Raw genomic sequence first — 22,295 nt, 5'->3', positions numbered from 1 at the left:
AGTTTTTTCTCGGAGTTTATGTTAACAGTGGTGACTTCAGTTGACCAGTCTTTGAGTTGGTATATACAGAAGCACTGTGTTTTTGGAATGCCAAATATCAGTTACTCTGGTGATCATTAACTTTTAATTTGTAAAGTTTTAAAAATAATACTCTTCAGTTCATTTGCCTGACATATTTTTATATATTTTGAAGTTTATAAATAGTAAACTTATCCAATATACTGAATATATGTTATACATAATTATATAATAACATATTACATAACATATTGGACATAATGCATCTAATATACTGAATTTGTGGGAGTTGAAGGGGGATCAATTTGGACTTTGTCTTGATAAAAGAAACAAATTATGAAAAGAAGTTTTTTTCTTCTGTTTATAAAATTTGTTCTGTAAAAACCTATTGTAAATTCTTAAAATGAACAGAATAATTCATGTGTTGTTTTAACATATTTTTTACTGTTTTGTCATACCTTGATATGGCTTTCTACAGTTATCCTCTACTTTATGATTGATTTGTATAGCACAATCATTGAAAAGATTAATTTGCAAAAATAGACACATAATTCACTGCTTGCTAAACACCTGCCTTGGTTTTTTGAAATTCAAATCATTTCCCTTGATGCCCATCGAATTGATTGTTTTCCTTCAGTTAACTGTTTTGTTTGCCAGATCTTCATTTGCATGTATAATTCAAGTAGTTCTTCAAAATCACTGTAATTCACAATGAAATCATGTAGTTTTTTCTGGGATTATAGTGTGCAAGTTTGTGGGGGTTTTGTTTTTTGTTTTTACTTTTATTCAATCTATGTGGTTCTTGAGTTTGAATAGTGAAGGTTTGGATAGTGAGTAACACCATGTAATCTGCTCTGTTGGGTACTGAGTTTTGGATGATGAGTATCAAGAGTTTGGATAGTGGGGGATTTTTCTGAAAATTTATGTTAAATCTCTTCAGTTTCAGAGCTCAGATTGCTAGAATTTTGATGGTAAAGGATATCTGTATCTACATTATATAACCTAGGTGTTTATAAGACTGGATGCTGACTTCACAGGCAGGGTTGGACTAGTGAAAGTGAGATGTTTGAATGGCGGCTTATTTTTAAATAGTACCTTAATTAGTGAGTCTTTCCATACTATGAAACTTTTGCCTTTCTGTAAAACCTTGTAACTGCGGAAGTTCAGATAATGAATACTAGGATTCGAGGGAACCCTAATTATGAACATTTCACAGATAGAAAGTAGTGACTTTTAAATGACTTTCATCAGAATAGTTTGCAATAAATGAGTGCTCTGCTCTTTATTATATTGAGAACATTAGACTTTCAGACTAAGATTTGAAAGATGCAATTTATGTTTCCACCTTCTGGTCCTCTTAATGTATTCTACCAACACACTCACTGCCTTCTTATTGTCTTTCTCCAACTGCAAAAACTTTTTCAGTTCTCTGTAACCCAAGGAAATGCTGTTGAATGAAATGAAACTCAGTGTGGTTGTTTATTTTAGGAGTTGTTACAACTCGGAAGAAATAGCATCTGAGCCAATGCCTTTCTCGTTTCATAAATTAAAAGCAGATGTTTAATAGGTGGGTGGTTTTATGGTTTCTAGTTATCCATACAGCCAAATAGACATAGATGGCAATATCAGAAATCAATATAAATACTATTTGATTAAATTATAAATGGCCTAATATAAGGCTGATTTCCTTCTGTGTTTCAACTTTGATTCTTTCTAAATGTTAGTTTTTGCTACGTTTAAAGGTGCCGTCACCCTTCTTGCTTTATTGTCTAGGCCCTAAACCAGTTGTTTGAGAAAATCATGGCATTAGACATTGATGAGCGCCACCTACTGCGTCTTGGTCATGGAGAAGAAGAGCTGGAGACAGAGAAAGATTTCAGCAGGTGAGCAAATGGGAGTGAGTAACAGTGTAAAAAAGGATTTTTTATTTTCTTTTCATTTCTTTTATTAAAGAAGAAGAAAGCAATGAATACTGAAACTTAATTCTGAAAGGTTCTAACTTAACTTACTAAGACTATATGTTGAGCTAGAAATATGGTCATGATGTCCCTCAGTTCCAGTTGTGTATGGTTATGCCATTTTGTCTTCAAATATACAATTATGTTAATGAAGAGAATGATCTTGTTAATCTTTTTAACAGATTGCCTTTTGCTTTCTATTTATTGAGGTAATTTTTCATGCTGCCAGTTCAAAACTGTACAACTTTAAATGATTCCTTTTTCACATCTTATTCAGGAATTTAATTTGCATATATTTTAGGTGCCAATTAGGAGGTTGATTTATTTATTGAAATAGAAATTACGGGAGGCTGACGCAGGAGAATCGCTGTAACCCGGGAGGCAGAGGTTGCAGTGAGCCAAGATTGCGCCATTGCATTCCAGCCTGGCGACAGAGCAAGACTCTGTCTCAAAAAAAAAAGAATGCAAATTAGTGATTAATGATAATATAAGCTTTGGGGTTATAAGTATAACTTCAGATGCTTCTTGCCAGTTTGGCTGGACTTTGTTTGATATCACATACTGTAAATTGACTAAAACTTTACAAGTCGGATTTCTTCTGCCATTAGTATTTTAATTTTTTTCATTCAAAGTTGCTTTATAATGTCTCATTTTATTTATATTTAAATCCATTTTTAAAGCCCAATTTTAGATAATAAGCACAATTAACAGCTGGACATATTTAATGTAGCCTTTGGCTATTAAACATGATATTTGATGAATTGATCATAGACATTAAAAGAGTTTTAAATTATTATGTGCATCTATTTTGAGTTCTTGTATTATAGAGCTTACCAAACACTTAGCTTCTAAAAAGTCACTATGTTGCAGAGGGGCAAAGAACAACATGCCATAAGTTATTTAGGGCTCTATATTCTTAATTTCAGATTAGCCAGTAATACTTTTGAATTCATCCCATAGGTATTTCCTCATTTTAAAGCCAACTTACAAAGGTAGGTTAGACTCTAAAATCTAATAATTCAGAATTCAGTGAACATGAAGGTGCTAATAGAATATTTGACTATAATTACAATTATATTGAAGTCGAATTTATGGTTTTTAAAGAATATTAGAATAGGGGTAGAATTTTTACAATGATTTCAGGTACCACCAAATTTGTTAGAAAAAATGTACTTTTAAATTCTGACACATAACCTAGATATTGTTAGTTTGCATATTTGATTGGACATATTCTTTTTCTCTTACAATTAAAAAGAAAAATTATGACTATTGTTTCACAATAAAAGTAGCATCACTTTCTCTGAAGAAAAAAATTGTAAAATCTGGTGAAGTTGTAGAGAAGGAGTGGTTATCCATAATTACACTATCCTAAAACAACTTTTTGCTAGTCTTTTTCTGTAATGCTGTTATTTGTAATTTTTATGTTGCTTTTTTTGTTTTTTTGAGACAGAGTTTCACTTTGTTGCCCAGGCTGGAGTGCAGTGGCACCGTCTCAGCTCACTGCAACCTCCGCTTCCTGGGTTCAAGCAATTCTCCTGCCTCAGTCTCGTGAGTAGCTGGGATTACAGGTACCCACCACCAAGCCTGGCTGATTTTTTTTGTATTTTAGTAGAGACGGGGTTTCACCATGTTGCCCAGGCTGGTCTTGAACTCCTGAGCTCAGGCAATCCATCTTGGCCTCCCAAAGTGCTAGGATTACAGGCGTGTGCCACCGCGCCCAGCCTTATGTTGCTTTTTAAAAATAATTCTTTATCTTTTAAGTGTAATAATGTACTAATTGAGCAGATAGTAGAGTTTAATTGTACTGTATATTGCTTTTATTTATTTATTTATTTATTTATTGGGACAGAGTCTCACTCTGTCACCCAGGCTGGAGTGTAGTGGTATGATCTCGGTTCACTGTAAACTCTGTCTCCTGGGTTCAAGGGATTCTCATGCCTCAGCCTCCTGAGTAGCTGGGATTACAGGCGCCCACCACCACACCTGGCTAATGTTTGTATTTTTAGTAGAGACGGGGTTTTGCCATGTTGGCCAGGCTAGTCTTGAACTCCTGACCTCAAGTGATCTGCCTGCCTCGGCCTCCCAAAGTGCTGGGATTACAGGCGTGAGCCACCGTGCCCGGCCTGTTGCTTTTTAAGTTTAACATTACTTCACAAAAATTTTGGCATTTTATTAACAGAGTCTGTAAGCATTCCTGATTTTTTTCTCATTAACGAAGTGTTCATTGTAGATAAAAGTTTATAGATAAGCAAGCAGAAAAAAGTTATCTGCCATATGTTTATATCCTTCCAAGTTGAAAAATTCTTCAAGCATAGATCATGTTTTAGATCTCTTTTTTGTTCTTAATCATCCCTTGCTACCTCAAATGTGAATCTCTGAACTACAGACAGCTAGGAACATGACTTCTTCTTTTGTTGAGTCTTTAAACATGGGAACAACAGTGATTGATTAAATTATTTTAGTCTTATTTTAAGCATTAAAGGGTTATGGGAGACCCTTTGTTGTTGTGGTGTTGTGAAAAGAATGTGCATAGAATTTGGGATCTAATTCTGGTTCCACTACTTTCTTCCCTAACTGTGTGTTTTCGGACAAGGTACTCTCCAAACTTCAGTTTTCTTACTGATTCAGCAAACATTAAGAACCTGCTAGGTTTGGGTGCCAAGTTATGTATTGGGATATGTAGATGACAGAGATAATCAAAAACATTTAAAAATTACTTTTCAAAGCCTTTAGATCTAATCTACTTTTATGTAGTGTAAAACAGTGCTGTTTGAAGCAGCCAGTTTGTGAACTTACATGTTCTTGGTCTGTGATGAAATGAACTAGCACCAGAATGCACTGTCCTGCTTTCTTCTTTGTGAAAGTGTCTTGCTGTGAAAAGAAAGATTGAGAGCTGAACTAAATGGTGTATTTGGTGATGTAGTTGACTTTCCCTCCTCCTAGACCAGTAACACCCTTGCAGATCAATACTGTTCCATGGAGTATACTCTAAGTAGCTTTTTCTTTTTTTTTTTTGAGACGGAGTCTTGCTTTGTCGCCCAGGCTGGAGTGCAGTGGCGCCATCTCTGCTCACTGCAAGCTCCGCCTCCCAGGTTCACGCCATTCTCTTGCCTCGGCCTCCCAAGTAGCTGGGACTACAGGTGCCCGCCACCATGCCCGGCTAATTTTTTTGTATTTTTAGTAGAGACAGGGTTTCACCATGTTAGCCATGATGGTCTCGATCTCCTAACCTCATGATCTGTCCGCCTCAGCCTCCCCGAAGTGTTGGGATTACAGGCGTGAACCACCGTGACCCACCTACTTTAAGTAGCTTTTGTGTAAAGTAACCCAAGAACTACCACCAATAGTTAAATAGAAGCCATATCTTCTAGTTTTTTTTCCTCTTCTTTGCTATTATGATTTTCTTGAATTTTGCTGATTGTTTCCTTCAAAGTCTCTTTATTACAGTTTTGTCATTTTGCCTAATTGAAATGTCTAGGTATGGAAGAGTTAATTATGTTCTGGCTCGAAGAATAGAACTTTTAGAAGAAGTCAAACGATTGCAAAAGAGTCTAGGGGTTCCAGGAGATGCCTCATATACCTGTGAAACTGCAGGCTATTTCTTCTTATACCAGGTAAGATATTAAGGGTTTTTGAATCATACTTCATCATAATATGAACCCCAGTTGGAAGCTGGAATGAGTTCTTGTGATCCTTCATGAAAGCTTATTTTTTTGAGTAGATTAGAATGTATGGTATTGCAAGTGCTATATTTATGAATGTTAAGTGTATTTTGTATTATCTTCAGTTTTCTTTTCTAAATAACTTTGCTTGATGACTCATTCTGTGAAAGACCAATGTTGCTACTTTTTACATTTTTTTCTTTCTATTGGCAAAGTTCTAGTCACTCTTTTTTCTTTTTTTACTGTAGAAATACAACTAAATAAATATTCTAGCTAGCCAGTGGCAACAAAGTACAGTTAACTTTTATTGTATACATTAATCAACTAATGAAGGAAAACATTCTTCCTTCAAATTTCCAGAAATAAATTATGTCTTACAACTAATTGCACAGTGGGTCTTGAAGTTAAAGGCTTCTGACTTCAACATAAAGATGTACTTTTACTTTTGTTAGGGTAAATTTTGGAAGTGTGAAAACCAATGAGAAATAGCCAAATAAAGTGAATAAAACTAAACTTTAATAGTCAGTTGGATTATTAATAATTTTAAATGGACTAGGACATAATTGGCTAATGAAGATTTTTGTATAACTTCATTTGTTCTCTTTGTTCTAATGCCAATTGTATATTTTAGATATAAATTATAATATTGTAAGCTCATTGTAAGTGGATATCACAAACCAATTAAGTCCATTCAAAATGAGCAGCTTTCATGGTTTCTTGTGAAGCAGGGAAAATACATAATATAGTCTACATTAGATTCAAGACTGTTTAGGACTTGCATAAAGGAGTAAAGATCAGCTTAAATGCTTTTTTGACACAAAATTACTTGGCTTTCAGTGAAAATAATGTTTAAAAGTGGGAAAAATAACCTATAAATTAAGAAGGTTTATGTAATAAATTTGGGAAGAATGAACTTGAGGCTTCACAGTGTAAATTGGCAGTTTTCAACATTTAAGAATCATATCAGGAAAGTTGTTTACGAGTTAAATTCCCTAGCCCTTGTTCCTATAGCTTCTCATTCAATAGAGGTGGAATCCAGGAATCCACATTTTTATTTAGCTCCTCAGATATTTTGCATAAGGACTACACTTTTGAGAAACACTGAGATAGTAACAGAAAAAGACCTGGGAGAGTTACAGAAATTGAGGTTACATAGTAACTGGCTGGTAGACGCATAGCTAACATTATACAAAGTAATTGAACTATAATCACAAAAGTCATAAGATAAGCTTTCAAATACACACTCAGCTTAACCAGACGTTCTTTATAAATGTTCTAAAAAACTGACAGAGGGTTGACAAGTGCCAAATTGATTAAAAAGCTGCTAAAGCTGAACTTACCATATATGGAGAGAAACAGAGATGAAAAAAATGAGCAATTTCTTTGTCCAGAGAGCTTTCTTTCCTTTACATTTCTTTTAAGCGTTAATAATAAACTCTCTTGAGTTACGTGGAGAATCTGAACTGTCGGAGTTAGAGTTCTATGAGATGATGTTAAGGCTCTTTCCAGTTTGTAGAAATTTGTTATTAAAGAGCCTTTTTTTCTCCAAAGACAAGGTTACTTTTATAACAGAAGAGCAATCTGTCAGTTACAGGAATGAAGAATAGTTATATTGGATCAAAGATTGAATTTCTTTTTTTTTCTTTTTCACCTAGCAGATCTTGTTTTTATAAGATTTATTCATTTTATGCTTTAAAACATCATAATTAGCTGGCAGTTAACTTCAAGTCCTTTTTTCTACAGGTAATGTCTCGCTGGGAAGAGTATATCAGCAAAGTGAAAAATAAAGGTAGTACATTGCCAGATGTTACGGAAGTCTCCACTTTCTTCCCTTTCCATGAATACTTTGCAAATGCTCCTCAACCCATTTTTAAAGGAAGATCTTATGAAGAAGACATGGAAATTGCTGAAGGATGTTTCAGGCATATTAAGAAAATCTTTACGCAGCTTGAGGTAAGGATTCTCAAGTTCTTTGAACTTCCCTTTAGTGGTTTTTAATTTAGTTTAGTTTTTTTTTGAAGTAAATGTGAAATATTCAAATCTTTTGTTTTTTTGTTTTTTTGTTTTTTTTTGAGACGGAGTCTTGCCCTGTTGCCCAGGCTGGAGTGCAGTGGCATGATCTTGGCTCACTGCAACCTCCACCTCCCAGGTTCAGGCGATTCTCCTGCCTCAGCTTCCGAGCAGCTGGGATTACAGGTGCACACCACCATGCCCAGCTAATTTTTGTATTTTTAGTAGAGACAGGGTTTCACCATGTTGGCCAGGCTGGTCTCGAACTCCTGACCTCAAGTTATCTGCTCGCCTCTGCCTCCCAAAGTGCTGAGATTACAGGTGTGAGCCACCACACCCGGCCCAAAATATTCAAATCTTAGAAATTAGATTAATTTTAAGTAAGATATAAATTGGATCCTTATTCTGGCTTTCCTGATGTAAAGGTCTTAGTATTTTTGAGAAAGGAATGCTTCCGTCAAGAAATTCAATAATGGTTCTTTGAACTGGAATTTGAGACTGCCATGTGGCCATTCTAAGTCCTGTATGCCTCTTGATCAGTAAAATAGTGGGGTTGCTGTAGTAGCCAGGATGATTGATTCTGATTATTAAAGTGAAATGAGTCATAGCTACACAATGGGAACAGAGAATATGTCTGGAACCCAGTGCCCCCTGGATATGTCTCCTAGTTTTTGCCACATCATTGCAGAATCATCATTGCAAAAATAGATAGCAAACATCATTGAAAAATTACAGCGGTCCTATAAAGGGATCATATTCAGGCTCAGACTCCTCAGTAAGAAAATTTAGGATTACACTTTCAGGTAGAAAGGTCAGGGACATTGTTTCTTGTCTTTGTATCTTTTAGATGTGATTACATACCTACTTCCTAGAACAGTATCAGATATGTAGTATATGTTCAGTAAATATTGAAATGTATATGGTTGAGTGGATGGATGGTAGGTACAGAATAATAAATGTATTATGTTTATGGTTACATAAACACAAAGTAAAAGGATAAAAACATACTCAATTCATAATAATAGCTGCCTTGGGAGGGAGTAGGCAGAAGGTTATACAGGGTACCTCACCTATATGTGTAATATTTTAATTATTTAAAAAACAAATGTTTTTTGTTTTTCCATACTCTTTTCTGCTCTGTTGGGGATCCTCTGCCATGGTTGATGTTCTGGCTTATCCTTGCAGGTTTAATTTCCCAGCTTCCTATGTCAGCTGACTTCTTGCTTAGTATAGCCGATGAGAGAGTGCCAAGGTATTTCTTCATCAGTTCCCTCTGCCTTGGGTTTCATCTCTTTCATGATTCCAGTTTCTGCTGGAAAAACTTGTGGTTCCAGCTTTTTTGTGTGACTACAGTCCCTGGGCTCTGATAATACCACTTCCTACCTTTATTCTTTCTAGTCTAGGGATGATAGTGACTGCTGCTGTCTCTAATTTCTATGTTACATTACCTTTATAGTTCCTCTATCACTTATATAACCAGTTTCTTGCTAAAATTTCCTTTGATATGAATACCTGAAATCATTTCTATTTTCCTGGAGGGACGTTGAGTAATACAGGTACAATGATCACTGAATTTTATTCAGTATTCTTGTTTATATAGTACATATTTTACGTTACATACAAAAAAGTTTGAATTATAACTTTTATATCAGCTATTATTTAAACTCAATTAGTACCGAAATCATAATGAACAGAATTATAATTCATTAGGCTTAGTTTATAATATATTTATGTTAATTTCTCAGGAATTAAGTCTGACTGGATTGTATGGTTATGTGCAAAACTCCGTTTTCCTAAAATTATCTTTCATTGCTCCTCGTTTCCATAGGAATTCAGAGCCTCTGAATTGCTTCGAAGTGGACTGGACAGATCTAAATACCTTTTAGTGAAAGAAGCCAAAATTATTGCTATGACCTGTACTCATGCTGCCTTAAAACGACATGACTTGGTCAAGCTAGGTTTCAAGGTAAAGACTTATGGTAGTTTTTTTTTTTTTTTTTTTAAGATTATCAGAGATTGGCTCACTTCTTATGAAGTTCGTATTTATAATTACCTTAAAATGTTTCTTTTATAAGTGGATGATAATATCCCTTGTTTACATGATTAGTGAACTCTGAATCTAATTTTTCTAAATCTAGTTGTTAGTAATATGTCCATTAGGTAATGTTATAACCATATGGTTGTCTGACCAAATTCTCATACTTGTTAAAGTTTTATTTTTACTGAGTATCACTTATTTAAAAATCTCCAAATAAAGCTTATGAAAAAAGCCTAAAATTCACCTAATTAAAAAAATAGTAATAATAAAAATATCTCCAAACAGAAGTAAAAGCTATAAAAAGAACATTTCAAAATGGTTTTCAGCCAGGTGTGGTGGCTCATGCCTGTAATCCCAGCACTTTAGGAGGCCAAGGTGGGCAGATCACTTGAGGTCAGGAGTTTGAGACCAGCCTGGCCAGCATGGTGAAACCCCGTCTCTATTAAAAATACAAAAACTAGCTGAGCATGGTGGTATACGCCTGTAATCCCAGCTCCTTGGGAGGCTGAGGCAGGAGAATCACTTGAACTCAGGAGGCAGAGGTTGCAGTGAGCCGAGATTGTGCCCCTGCCCTCCAGCCTGGGCAACAGAGTGAGACTCTATCTCAAAACAAAATCAAACAAAAAAAAACAAAGTGGTTTTCATCTATTAGACATCTGTATGCTTAGATTATTCACATATTAAACATACAACCATTCCAGTTATTTGTGTACTTAGCAAATGAAAAGCCTTTCATATGAGGATATGGAATACTCTTAGACTGCAAAATGAGATATTAAAATGGTTTCATCATATGATAAAAACAGGAGTACAAAATAACCTGTTAATCTGTGACTCACTTGAAGTGGAAAGTAATGATTGAGCAGTAAATTTGAATTTGCAAATTTTTTGTGACTTTGCTAGTGATACTGATCTGAACTTAGATTTTAATACAGTCATTTAACTTTCCTGCAACTGGTTTGTCTGTTGTTTAAAACAGAGTTCTGTATATGGGTTTGAATTAAAAATTAGTAATTCACTTGTTGATTAAAGTAACTGACAATTTTAAAATGTTGTGAGCTCACTGAAAGATAGGCGCTAAATAAATTCAAGGTGATGAAATTGTTATCTTGGATGCAAGGTTCCTCAGCTGCAAGGTAGGACAAATACGACAATTTATTAAAAGGTAGTGTGAATGTACCCCAGTGGTGTGAACTTACCCTTTTGCAAATTATTAGTGAGAATTTTTCACCTAAATGTTTTGTTCTTGGGGCTGACATATAAAATATACTTTGATATTAAATCATAGCTTAATAACAAGGGAAAATAATGCAACCATAATTAACATTTTTTGCTTTCATGGAGCTTTTGCCTGTGTTCTAAAGAATACTACTTATCAAACTTTCAGTAGTCATTTTCTACATTTAAATCATGCTACACGTCAACGGGTAGTTAGCATGAGTGCTAATAGGTTTTCTATATTTTTGATTTTGAAGTTTTATTTTTATCACACTTAAGAGTTTTAAAAACCTTGTAGGTCCACTTAACAAAAAAAGGCAGTCCCCCACTCTGCTCATCCGTCCCATTTATCCAGTCCTTCGACTCTTTTAGATTTTGTCCTTTTCATCTATATCAGTCAAGAATGGTAAATTTCCATTTTAGGCATTGTCTTTTGATTCTGTGCTCACCCAAAGGACAAATAGACACACATTCATGCATGTGTGCGTGCACCTTTCCTTCCTTAATGCTCCCAATATAGTTATGTCGTAACTTTGGTTTGCTCACTTTGGGGTGTTTACATCATTATTAACACATGAACACTTTCACATCCAAGCAGGGGGAATATACCATGATTAGTTGTCCTTTCATGCACAATTTTTTTTTCTTTCTGGAATTAATGATTTTCGCCTTTTTTGTTTGTTTAGTTTTCTGTTTTTACCACCAATTCAACCCAAAACTGTGTTTAGTTTTTAAATATTTTCTTAGTACATTTAGACACATCCCATACATGTTTTTGGAGATCTCTCTCCTAGATACTCCTGACCTATTTCAGTTCACATTGCATCCATTGTAAAGGCCTTTGCCTTTCTCATATGTCAGATTCTGTGTTTTGGGCATTCTGTGTCTTTCTCTTCTGTATTTTAGTAGAATACATCCTCCCGTATCTTTCATGTGAAAGGATGCATAGGAGGTAATATTTTTAAGACTTTCCATGTCCAAAAACTGTTTTTAATCTACTCTCACATTTAGTTATTATGGCTAGGTATAGATTTCTAGATTGGAAATAATTTTTCTTCAGAATTTTGAAGAATTGTTCCGTTTTCTCTGTCTTCCAGTGTAGCTGTTCAGAAGCCCAAAGCCGTGATTTTAAATGTATTTTGTTTTACATTTTTGTTCTGTCAGGAAGCCCTATAATCTTTTCTTTGTCCCTAGAGTTCTGAAATTTCAGTGATAAGTCTTAGGGATACGAAGGGATAAAGAGGACTCTTACTTTCCTGGGTCCCTGGGTTGTGGGAGATGGATGGAGAAAGAGAGCCAGACTTCTCCACATTCAGTTTTGTACACAGACTTTTGACATAATTCCCACTTTCTGTGTGGTGCTCATTTCTGATCCCACCCTCTTAACTCTGCCTGCTTTCTCCAAGTTCCAAGATCCTCTCCAGACACTAAACCTGTTGTCTATTGGGGGTGAGAGAGAAGGGACATTTCGTTTGGTTCCTTGAAGTGGGGAAGTCTAATTGCCTCTTTAAACCATTCCTATTGTTACCAAGCAAAAGGGGCTCGCTGCTCAGTGCACTAGAAGCCAATACTCTAACACCAGGTTTTTGAGGGAAAAAAAAGCTCCTATTACAAGTTGACTCATGAGAAGAACATAGTCAAGCTCAAATCTATGTCCCCATGCTGGCTTTAAGGCAGTAATTTTATTAGAAAATATACAGGGGGTGGATTCTGGGATTAGTAAGCGATTGGTGGAAGGAAAGGGGTCTGGAAAATCTTCAAGCATGCGCAGTTCTCTCTTCATGCTACCTCTTGGATGGCATGTGTAGATTCTAGAGGAGATAACATGAAACATGGTAGAAATTTGGGTTGTGACGTAAGCAAGCTCATTCTGCGCTCACTCTAGTTGGCTATATTGGTTCCAGCCAGTTTCAGCCAGTTTTATTATCTTAGAAGCAAAGGAAGTTTCAGCTTTGCAGCAAGTTGTTTCTTTTCTTATCTATCATCCTGTAAACTCAAGGATTTCTGTTAGTTGCTGGTTTCTTTAACTCTTTGGGATACAATTTCACTATATAATGTCAAGTGTTATTTTAGGGGGTTTCCAGAGATAGTGGTGATCATTATGTGTTCAGTTCATCACCTTTTAACAGAAGTCTACCACTTGTTTCAATTTGTATTTTGTTGAAGCCTATTTTTTTTTTTTTTGAGACAGAGCCTTGCTCTGTTGCCCAGGCTAGAGTGCAGTGGCGCAATCTCAGCTCACTTCAACCTCCACCTCCTGGGTTCAAGTGATTCTCCTGCCTCAGCCTCCCAAGTAGCTGGGATTACAGGCACCCGCCACCAGGCCCAGCTAATTTTTGTATTTTTAGTAGAGACAGTGTTTTACCATGTTGGCCAGGTTGGTCTTAAACTCCTGACCTCAAGTGATCCAGCCTCGGGCTCCCAAAGTGCTGGGATTACAGGCATGAGCAACTGCACCCAGCCCCAATTTTTTACAAACACGAAGTTAAATATTAATTCTAATTTGCTTGTCTGTTTTCAGGGATTATTAATTCAATGTTGATCATCTTAAACCCATTTTGAGTTGTAGAAATTGTAAAAGGAAATATGAATTCAATGTTGATCATCTTAAACCCATTTTGAGTTGTAGAAATTGTAGAAGGAAATGTATCAGAATGATAACAAAAATGAACAATGATAATAATCATCATTTGTTGAGCGTCAGCTATGTACCAAGTTCTGTGTTTACAATGTACAAAATTCTATGTTTACAATGATTTATTTCTCTTCTTCACAACTAGATCTTTTTATGAGCTATCTCCTTTTTTTTTTTTTTTTTTTTTTTTTGAGACAGAGTCTCATTCTTTTTCCCAGGCTGGAGTGCAATGGCGTGATCTCGGCTCACTGCAACCTCTGCCTCTTGGGTTCAAACACTTCTAGTGCCTCAGCCTCCCGAGTAGCTGGGATTACAGGCACGTGCCACCACACCCAACCAACTTACTGTATTTTTAGTAAAGACGGGGTTTCACCATGTTGACCAGGCTGGTCTTGAACTCCTGAGCTCAAGGGATCCACCTGCCTTGGCCTCCCAGAGTTCTGGGATTACAGCTGTGAGCCACTGCACCACAAGATACCTCCATTTTATAGTTGAGAAAGGGTGACTCAAGAGAGATATTACCTTAGAGTCGCAGGTAATCAGTTACAGAGCTAGTATTAAAACATGGTTTTCTAAGAATTTAAAGTCTGTTGTGCCCTTACTCCTACACCACCCTGACCCTATCCTAGCAGCTATAATCCATTAAAGAACCGTGGAACTGGTAACGGTGGCTGTAGAATTTAGGAATCCTTTGAAAGTTCACAAAGACTAGCTCCTAGCCTGGTCCCTGGCCTGCAGCATCAAGTGCCAACCCAACATGTAATATGTTGGTAGAGATTAGTAAGGGTTGAATGAATGATCTGACTAATAAATACATGGAGCAAGTAGCTAAAGTAGTGATAATTTTGCTTTGGAATTAAAATCTGTATTTTAAAAAACAAAATCTGTAAATATGTTTTTATAAGTAAAATTGCATTATATTTTCAGAATTGATTTTCAGAAAGCGGTCTTTTTAAGCTATCTCCTTTTGAGTTGCCCCCACTCTGTTTTGCATATTATACCTGTTATCTTGAGAGTCTACACAGGGACTTCTTAGAAAATGTGAGAGTTTGAATTCCTCCTTCTGTTCAGCTCCCACAAAAATGACCTAATCATTATAATAGGGAAATGCCTACACCTTCAAGTAGTTTCAATAACAGTCCAGGATTGAACCATAACTTTAAAAGAGGAGAGTTAATCAAACATTCAGAGTAAATATGCTCTCCCCATCTCCCACCTCCCTGGAAAATAAAATAATGGGAGAAATCTTTAAAAACAGAAAGCAACAGAACTCTAATGTGTACTTAGATTCAAGAAGAAGGTATTGTACCAAAACAAGATGTCATACTAAGTAGCGATCAGAATTAGATGTGAATAGGAAAGATAAAACATATTGATAATAGATCTAAATGAGAATTGGACAGATAGAACAGTAGTAATTATCGAAGAAGGAATGAAATTTTCTCATGTTTTAGAAAGACTTGATTTTTCATTCTTTTACAAATGTGTAATACCTAACATTACTGGGAACTGGGCTACGGAAAAGATACATTAAACAAGTAAATATACAGATATAATTACAAATTGTGTAGGTCTGGAAGACAAAAGAACAGTACTTCAGTACTTTGAGATCAGTTTTAGATTGGGAAGTCACAGAAGGCCTAGATAAAGTGGCTTTTAAGCTGATATTTTAAGGATGAGAAAGAACCAACTAGACTAAAAGTGAAGAGAATAGCATGTGCAAAGGGCCTGAGGCAGGGAAGGTTTTGCCATTTCCAACAAACTGAAATGGGTCATTGTGGTTGAAGCTTAGTGAGTAAGGAGAAAGATAAAGTACAAGAGGAAGTCAGGGACTAGATTGAATATAGGTTCTTGGTAAATACATCCTTGCTGGCAATATTGAGGGATTTTTTTCACTTAAACAGTGGTGTGAAGGATTTGAAATAAGGAGTTGTATAAGTGCCTTAGAGGAGTCAAGACAGGAAGAGGAGGAACTAGTAAGGAGTTTGCTATCCGTAGTCATAGTGGTGGCTTGGATTTTTAGAGTGGTAGTGCTGGTAGAAATAAAGAAAAATGAATAGACTCAAGAGTTTTGAAGGTAAAATTGACATGCTCTGGTGATGGATTGAATGCCCAGGGGTGAGACTGAAGTGAATTGTTGTGATGGGTAGGATTCATATAGGAAAAAAAATTATCCCAAAATGCTACCAGAGTAAGAGTACCAAAGGGAAAGACTTCATATATAATTATAAATTGATGCTTTCTGATGTAGAAATAAAGAACTAAATTGAAAAGAACCAAACTGGCATTGCAATTCAAGAAATGATATACAAGATCTTTTCAATGTAAAGTTGTATATTTAGGCGGCTTTCCTGAAGTCAAATACTTGAATTGGAAATGCAGAGGCATAATGATAAGTAAGACCATGAAGTTTCTGTTTGAATAATGTGTATGTTGTTATTTTTATCTGTCTGAATAATTTGTATGTCGTTTTTATCAGAAATTATTTGGGGTTTTTTTGATGATTATGTTTATGATGGTAGTTGTTTGACTTTTAAGCTGTCTTTATGACAAGATTTCCTCTTTCTTAGTATGACAACATTTTGATGGAAGAGGCTGCTCAGATTCTGGAGATAGAAACTTTTATCCCTCTTCTTCTACAGGTAAGAAATATAAGATCTGAGGCAAAGAAAATAGAGTTCTAAGAATGCTGAGGACAGCATCAGAAAGTTGTACAGTTTGGGTGTGCTGATTGCCATAGTTATGTATTTTCCTTAACTTCATTATGTTTGGTATTCTATTTTAAGCCTGTAAACTTTCTTGAATCTATTCACTGGCTATTTAGTAGTTGTTTTGCTTCGAGAAGTACTATTTAAAATTTCATAGTCTATTTCTGTAGTTTTGAAAAGATTTAGTAATTTTAATCAAGAAAATTACATTGTTGTGCAGTTTGGTGGGAAGATGAGCTGTTTCTTCATTTCTTTTGTTATAATTGTTTGTAGAATTATTTTTTTCATTTTCACTGAGTGCATTGCTTTTCTTTATGCCTAAGTTTTTGAGCTAAATTGTGCTATTTAAGAATTTTTTTACTGTAAAATATTCTTTACTATTGAAGCATTAAAAACAAAATGTGGAATTCCCAACTTAAGGATAGAGACCACTCTAATATGCAGATAAATTGAGTTCCAGAAGTTGTTTTTATAAGTGAAGCTACTTGGAACTTGGAATGTATTCTATCAGGATATGTTTCAAGGAACTAGGAGACATATAGAGTAGGAAATTGAAGTAGTAGTGTAGATAATTAAAGAAGGTAGTTTTTACTGCTTTGGTGGGTTCAGAATTGGTCCTCAGCTAATTGTGAAACATGTTTATTTCGCATCTTTCCATTTCTCTTCTTGGGCTTCTGTTTCTTTCTGTGTGCTCGTTACCTAATGCCTGACCTAATCCTTCCAGCCTTCTTTGGATTACCCTGCCTATTAAAGTAGGGTAATTCCATGCTTGCCTTCTAAATACCTCCATTCTCCCTCACCCACTGTCACCCAGGAGCAATAACGTCCATAATTGGTTCACAAATTGTTCTGTAAATTTGCTAGACTCCTGTTTGTGGAGCTGGTAAAGTTTGGTAATTTGTAAGATAAGGAAGCTGTTTGATGAAGACTGAGTCTCTCGGGTAATAAATTGGAGACAAGAGGATAATAGAGTATTTTGCCATTTCCTTACTTTTCATTTCTAGAATCCTCAGGATGGATTTAGCCGACTAAAACGATGGATTATGATTGGCGATCATCACCAGTTACCTCCAGTTATTAAGAACATGGCCTTTCAAAAGTACTCAAACATGGAGCAGTCTCTCTTCACTCGCTTTGTTCGCGTTGGAGTTCCGACTGTTGACCTTGATGCTCAAGGGAGAGCCAGAGCAAGGTAAAAGAGACAGGAAAAAAAATCATTCCCATTTAAGGACATTTGTTCCATGATCCAAGTATTTGTGAATAGCTTTTGTGTAGACTATTAGCATTCTTGGCTATCCAGGAACTTGGCTATCCATAAATCCAAAAGCACTTTTGTCGACTTCTGCAAGAGATGTGAATGGACCAAATAATTTATTTCCTTCATTTCATTCATTAATATTAATTTAAGTAACTTATAATCTAAAGGCTTCTTTTCATTGTCCCTTCTCCTTTCTTCATGTCCCCAAAAGATATACAGTTAATATAATTTTAAAATCTAAAAATAAAGTGAACAAGAGGAGAACACACCAATTCTTACTTCATAAAGGATGCAGGCCCCATCTCATAGTTACCCCCAAATGTCCTCAATTTTTAGTCTTCCTTGATTTTTTAATTTAAGGGATAAAGATAGCATTGACCTCAGAGAGCGTAATAGAACTCTCATTTTTGTAGTACCTTCAGTCTTCTGACCCTTGGTTACTTGAAGTAGGGAAGCTAAGGTTGAAAGAGCATTATTGCTTAAAAGATGAGCCAAAATGGCTAACATGAAAATTTAAAAGAAGCACAGAAACAGAAACCTCCTTATGTATATTAAAAGAGATTTTACACTGCTAATATTTTCTGTTTGTGGGGGAATTTGTCTTTGGAAAGCTTGTGCAACCTCTACAACTGGCGATACAAGAATCTAGGAAACTTACCCCATGTGCAGCTCTTGCCAGAGTTTAGTACAGCAAATGCTGGCTTACTGTATGACTTCCAGCTCATTAATGTTGAAGATTTTCAAGGAGTGGGAGAATCTGAACCTAATCCTTACTTCTATCAGGTAAGAAAAAATAGGAAGCTTATAAGTTTATTTTGCATTTGCTGGCTGACATATGCCTAAATCAGTGATACTTAACCATTTGGCCGTTGAGAAAAGGAAAGTTGGAACCCCACCTTACACATAGCATATGAAAAATCGATTTCAGATTGATTAAAAATACATGCACTAAAGAAACTAAACAAACTAGAAACTACTAGAAGAAAATATTAATGAATATACAGTGTTGGAGTGAGAAAGGTCTTCCTAAGCTTGTTACAAAAGCAGAAATCATAAAGAAAAATAGCGATTGGAGAAAAGATTTATTTTCAGTATTTAAAATTTATTTCAATATTTAACAAACAAGTTGAATTCTGAATATATTTATAGAACTCATAAATTGTTTTAAAAAATCAAGACTAACAGGAAAATATGAATATGCAATTCATATTTTATAACAAGTATAAATCACTGAATTACATTTTCACTTCTATAACAATGCTCAGTGTTGGGATAGGTTTGGGGAAACTTTATTCTCATACAATGCTAGTAGGAAAATAATTTGGTGGACAAATTGTCAGCATGTATGAAAAGCAATGTTCTCACATCTAGGAATTTATCCTAAAAAAATAATTGGGCAAGTTTGGAAAGACTTGTATGCTTCATGTTCATCACTGCAAATTATTCTGGAAATGAGAAACAACCCAAATATCTGTCAGTAGGGATTAATTGCATTATTACATATTCCATATAAAAGAAATACTAGATAGCCACTAAGAATGATAACATTGTATTTACTAACAGGAAGAATGTTTATGCTATATTAAGTGGAAAAAAGTTGCAAAGTATATCTACAGTATCTCATTTTAAAAAGGAGCTGCAATACATACATATAGAAATACATACAGATAATCTATACAAAATGACCTGGCAGCATATACATCAAAATATAGTCTTTGGTTGGTAGCATTTGGGGTTATTTTAATTTTTTTCTTTTTTTCTCTCTCTCTTTACAGCAAAATATCCAATATAGGTTGTTATACAAATTAGAGATCTTGAGTTATTCATGAAAAAGCATCATTTATCATCAGCTTAAATGTGTATGCATAGATGTAACTCATGCAGATCTTATTGTCCCTCCAAATATTTGGTTATATTAAATCAAGTTACTCTATTTGTGTACTTAATGCCTGAGAACAGATGTGACCTTTAAATGATAACTTTAAAAATATTAGAACCTAGTTCAAATCAGTGATGTTTCCTAATAGCCACCTTAGAAATTAATTATTCTATCAGTAATCAACTGATGTTTTCATTACATATTGGTTTTTTGGAATTTCTTCTTTGAGTCAGTTTCATTGCCTGAGTCATACTGTAGTATTGATTGAAACATTTTTATCCAGATTGGTTACCTGTTTTTCTTATTCATTAAGCCTAACTCTAGATGAGTTTTTAGCGATTCAAGAAATAAATATATTTTCAGATGATGATTTGCCACTATTAAATATATTTCTGGAGAGTTGAAAACACTGTCCCCCAAAATAAGAATACTATGCATTTAAGTGATAACATTTGAAGAATTAGTGTCGAGAGGGAAAGACTAGGTGGATAAATGAATAAAAGTCACTAATTTGAAGGGGACTTGACTCATTTGGAGCGAGTTCTAAAATGTTTGGTCACAATACAGTTCATGTTGTTTTATTGTTAATGCTTCATGTCTAACCTTTGGGCAAAGTACCAAATTGGGCAGTGTTAAAGAACTAGAAAACTTAAATGAACTTGTAACTCAAGCTGTGCGTCACAAAGAACCAGAATATAAATGATATTTTTAGAAGTCTTCCAGTAATCTTTCGGTTGCCTTTGCATGAAATCCAGCTTCCTTTTTTTTTTTTTTTAAATATTGTGTTTATATTCTTATTTTACTTTCTTCTTTCATCTAGTACTTTGGATTTAGTCTCTACTGAACTGGACCAAAGAGCTTTGTGTGTGGTTCCTCACCTTTAAGTTGAATAAGCCTTAGTTTTAAGCTCCTTTCTAGTCTGTAATTTAACAGTAAACCAGACTGACCAATTTGCGGTCACATCCTCATCCCACCTAAAGTGATCTAGTAGAAGTGACAACCATTACGCAGAGAACAGAAACAAAGCATACAAAAAACATTAAGAAACATGAGGAAGGAGGAAAAGCACTGTGCAAAAATTGAGTCAATTATAATACTGCTAGGTGTATTTGCTATTAAACTGGGTATTGTATTGGCTTCTTAGTTACTTTGTTCCTTTATAGTTTTGTGTCTGTGTAACTACAGTTGTGGCACATTGTATAGAATTTTTTTTTTTTTTTTTTTTGGAGATGAGATCTCACTTTGTCACCAGGCTGGAGTGCAGAGGCACGATTGAAGCTCGCCACAACCTCTGCCTCCCAAGCTTAAGCGATCCCCCCACCTCAGTCTCCAGAGTAGCTGAGACTATAGGCATGCACCACCATGCCCAGCTAATTTTTGTATTTTTAGTAGAGACAGGGTTTCACCATGTTGTCCAGGCTGGTCTCAAACTCCTGGACTCAAGTGATCTGTCTGCCTTGGCCTCCCCAAGTGCTGGGATTACAGATGTGAGCTACCATGCCTGGCCAGAATAGTATTAATCTATATTGTGATTGTTATGGTCTTAGGAATATTAAGCCTTTAAGTTGGTAAGTTTTATTTTAGGATTGTTCCATGTATTGCAAATTAAAAGTTTGTATTTATCACTGTTAATGTAGCATAAAATTATCCCTCAGTTTTATGAAAGGTACTCACTTATCCAAGTTACTAAGTCTTCACTTCTTGCAGTGTGCAAAGTGAACAAGTTTTGCTTATCTAGATGAGATATTTTCTCTATAAAATTGAAACAAAAGCAAATGAATGCACAGTCTGATTATGTTTGCATTACAGAATCTTGGAGAGGCAGAATATGTAGTAGCACTTTTTATGTACATGTGTTTACTTGGTTACCCTGCTGACAAAATCAGTATTCTAACAACATATAATGGCCAAAAGCATCTTATTCGCGACATCATCAATAGACGATGTGGAAACAATCCATTGATTGGAAGACCAAACAAGGTACTTTTATAATTATAATATGTTCTCTTATTCATCATTTTGGCAAGATGGAAAGGTTTATATTGTTCTGCTTTGCCTCTTTGCTATCTCTTTTTAAGATATTTGAGAAAATGAAATAATGGGAACTATAAATAACTCTCTGACAGTCTTGCTGGTTTGATGTGACTTTCTATCTCAGCTACCACATAAAAGATATTTATTGATGGTAAAAGAAATGTTTCTGAAACTTTTTGTTCATAAAATGATATATAACAAAATTACATTATAATATGTGTACTGTTACAAGGAGTATGTTTTGCTTTGCAGGGGTATAATTTAGACTGCTTTTTATTGTGTATAGGGGGAGGTTGTCTTGGGAATAAGGGAAGATTGTAAAATGTATTCAGACCTTGGGATTTTAAAAATATATATATTTTTTATGTAATCAAAAATGCATAATATCAAATAAAATGATGATTCTTTCATTAATGAAGGGTAGAATACATTAGAAAAAACATAAAGATAATACTAATGATAAAATTAGGACTTTGGCTATGAACATGGCTATGTAAAAGCTCACCTTTTTTGGAAATTATGCAAATGTAACAGGAAAATGAGAAAAAGAGGGGACAAACTATTTTTATAGACTATCTGTGCAGTAGCAGAAGAAAAGAGGGCCTTTTGTTATGAAAACCGTCCAGCCTTCAGAAAACAGCCTTGCTCACCCCATCTTCATGTCTCCCACATAGCTAATCTAAGAAACTTACTTATTCAGTGATGAATAGTATAAAGGGAACTAGCACAAGCTCAATTTATAGGAAAAAATGAAGAACAGCAAAACATAGATAGGATACATGCTCCAGAAACCATGTTGGCCTGGAAAAGATGAAATTTTCAAATATACATTTTGCTGTAAATTGGGAAATACTTAATGAAGTAACCATATCTTTGA

At 35.0% G+C, this 22,295-nt stretch overlaps 1 protein-coding gene across 1 annotated transcript in view, besides 1 other annotated feature; it reads left to right on the top strand.

The window, feature by feature from the left end:
• Positions 1-22,295, top strand: part of AQR (aquarius intron-binding spliceosomal factor) — a 117,961-nt gene that overhangs the window by 77,627 nt on the left and 18,039 nt on the right. The window contains exons 24-31 of the mRNA NM_014691.3: positions 1,792-1,901; positions 5,455-5,590; positions 7,382-7,591; positions 9,477-9,614; positions 16,110-16,181; positions 17,252-17,439; positions 18,117-18,288; positions 21,194-21,364. Of these exons, the coding sequence (NP_055506.1) occupies positions 1,792-1,901; positions 5,455-5,590; positions 7,382-7,591; positions 9,477-9,614; positions 16,110-16,181; positions 17,252-17,439; positions 18,117-18,288; positions 21,194-21,364 (1,197 nt within the window). The remainder of the gene's footprint in view (positions 1-1,791; positions 1,902-5,454; positions 5,591-7,381; positions 7,592-9,476; positions 9,615-16,109; positions 16,182-17,251; positions 17,440-18,116; positions 18,289-21,193; positions 21,365-22,295) is intronic.
• Positions 16,765-17,964: an enhancer, noted in NCBI's record as "MED14-independent group 3 enhancer chr15:35166353-35167552 (GRCh37/hg19 assembly coordinates)". NCBI's record gives its function as "activates an origin of replication core promoter dependent on BRD2, BRD4, P300/CBP and CDK7 cofactors, and independent of MED14, by STARR-seq in HCT116 cells {active_cell/tissue: HCT116}" and the evidence as "EXISTENCE:reporter gene assay evidence [ECO:0000049][PMID:35650434]".

The sequence above is a fragment of the Homo sapiens genome, chromosome 15, assembly GCF_000001405.40.
Source record: "Homo sapiens chromosome 15, GRCh38.p14 Primary Assembly".
Classification (NCBI taxonomy): Eukaryota; Metazoa; Chordata; class Mammalia; order Primates; family Hominidae; genus Homo; species Homo sapiens.
This window is presented reverse-complemented; position numbering and strand designations above follow the sequence as displayed.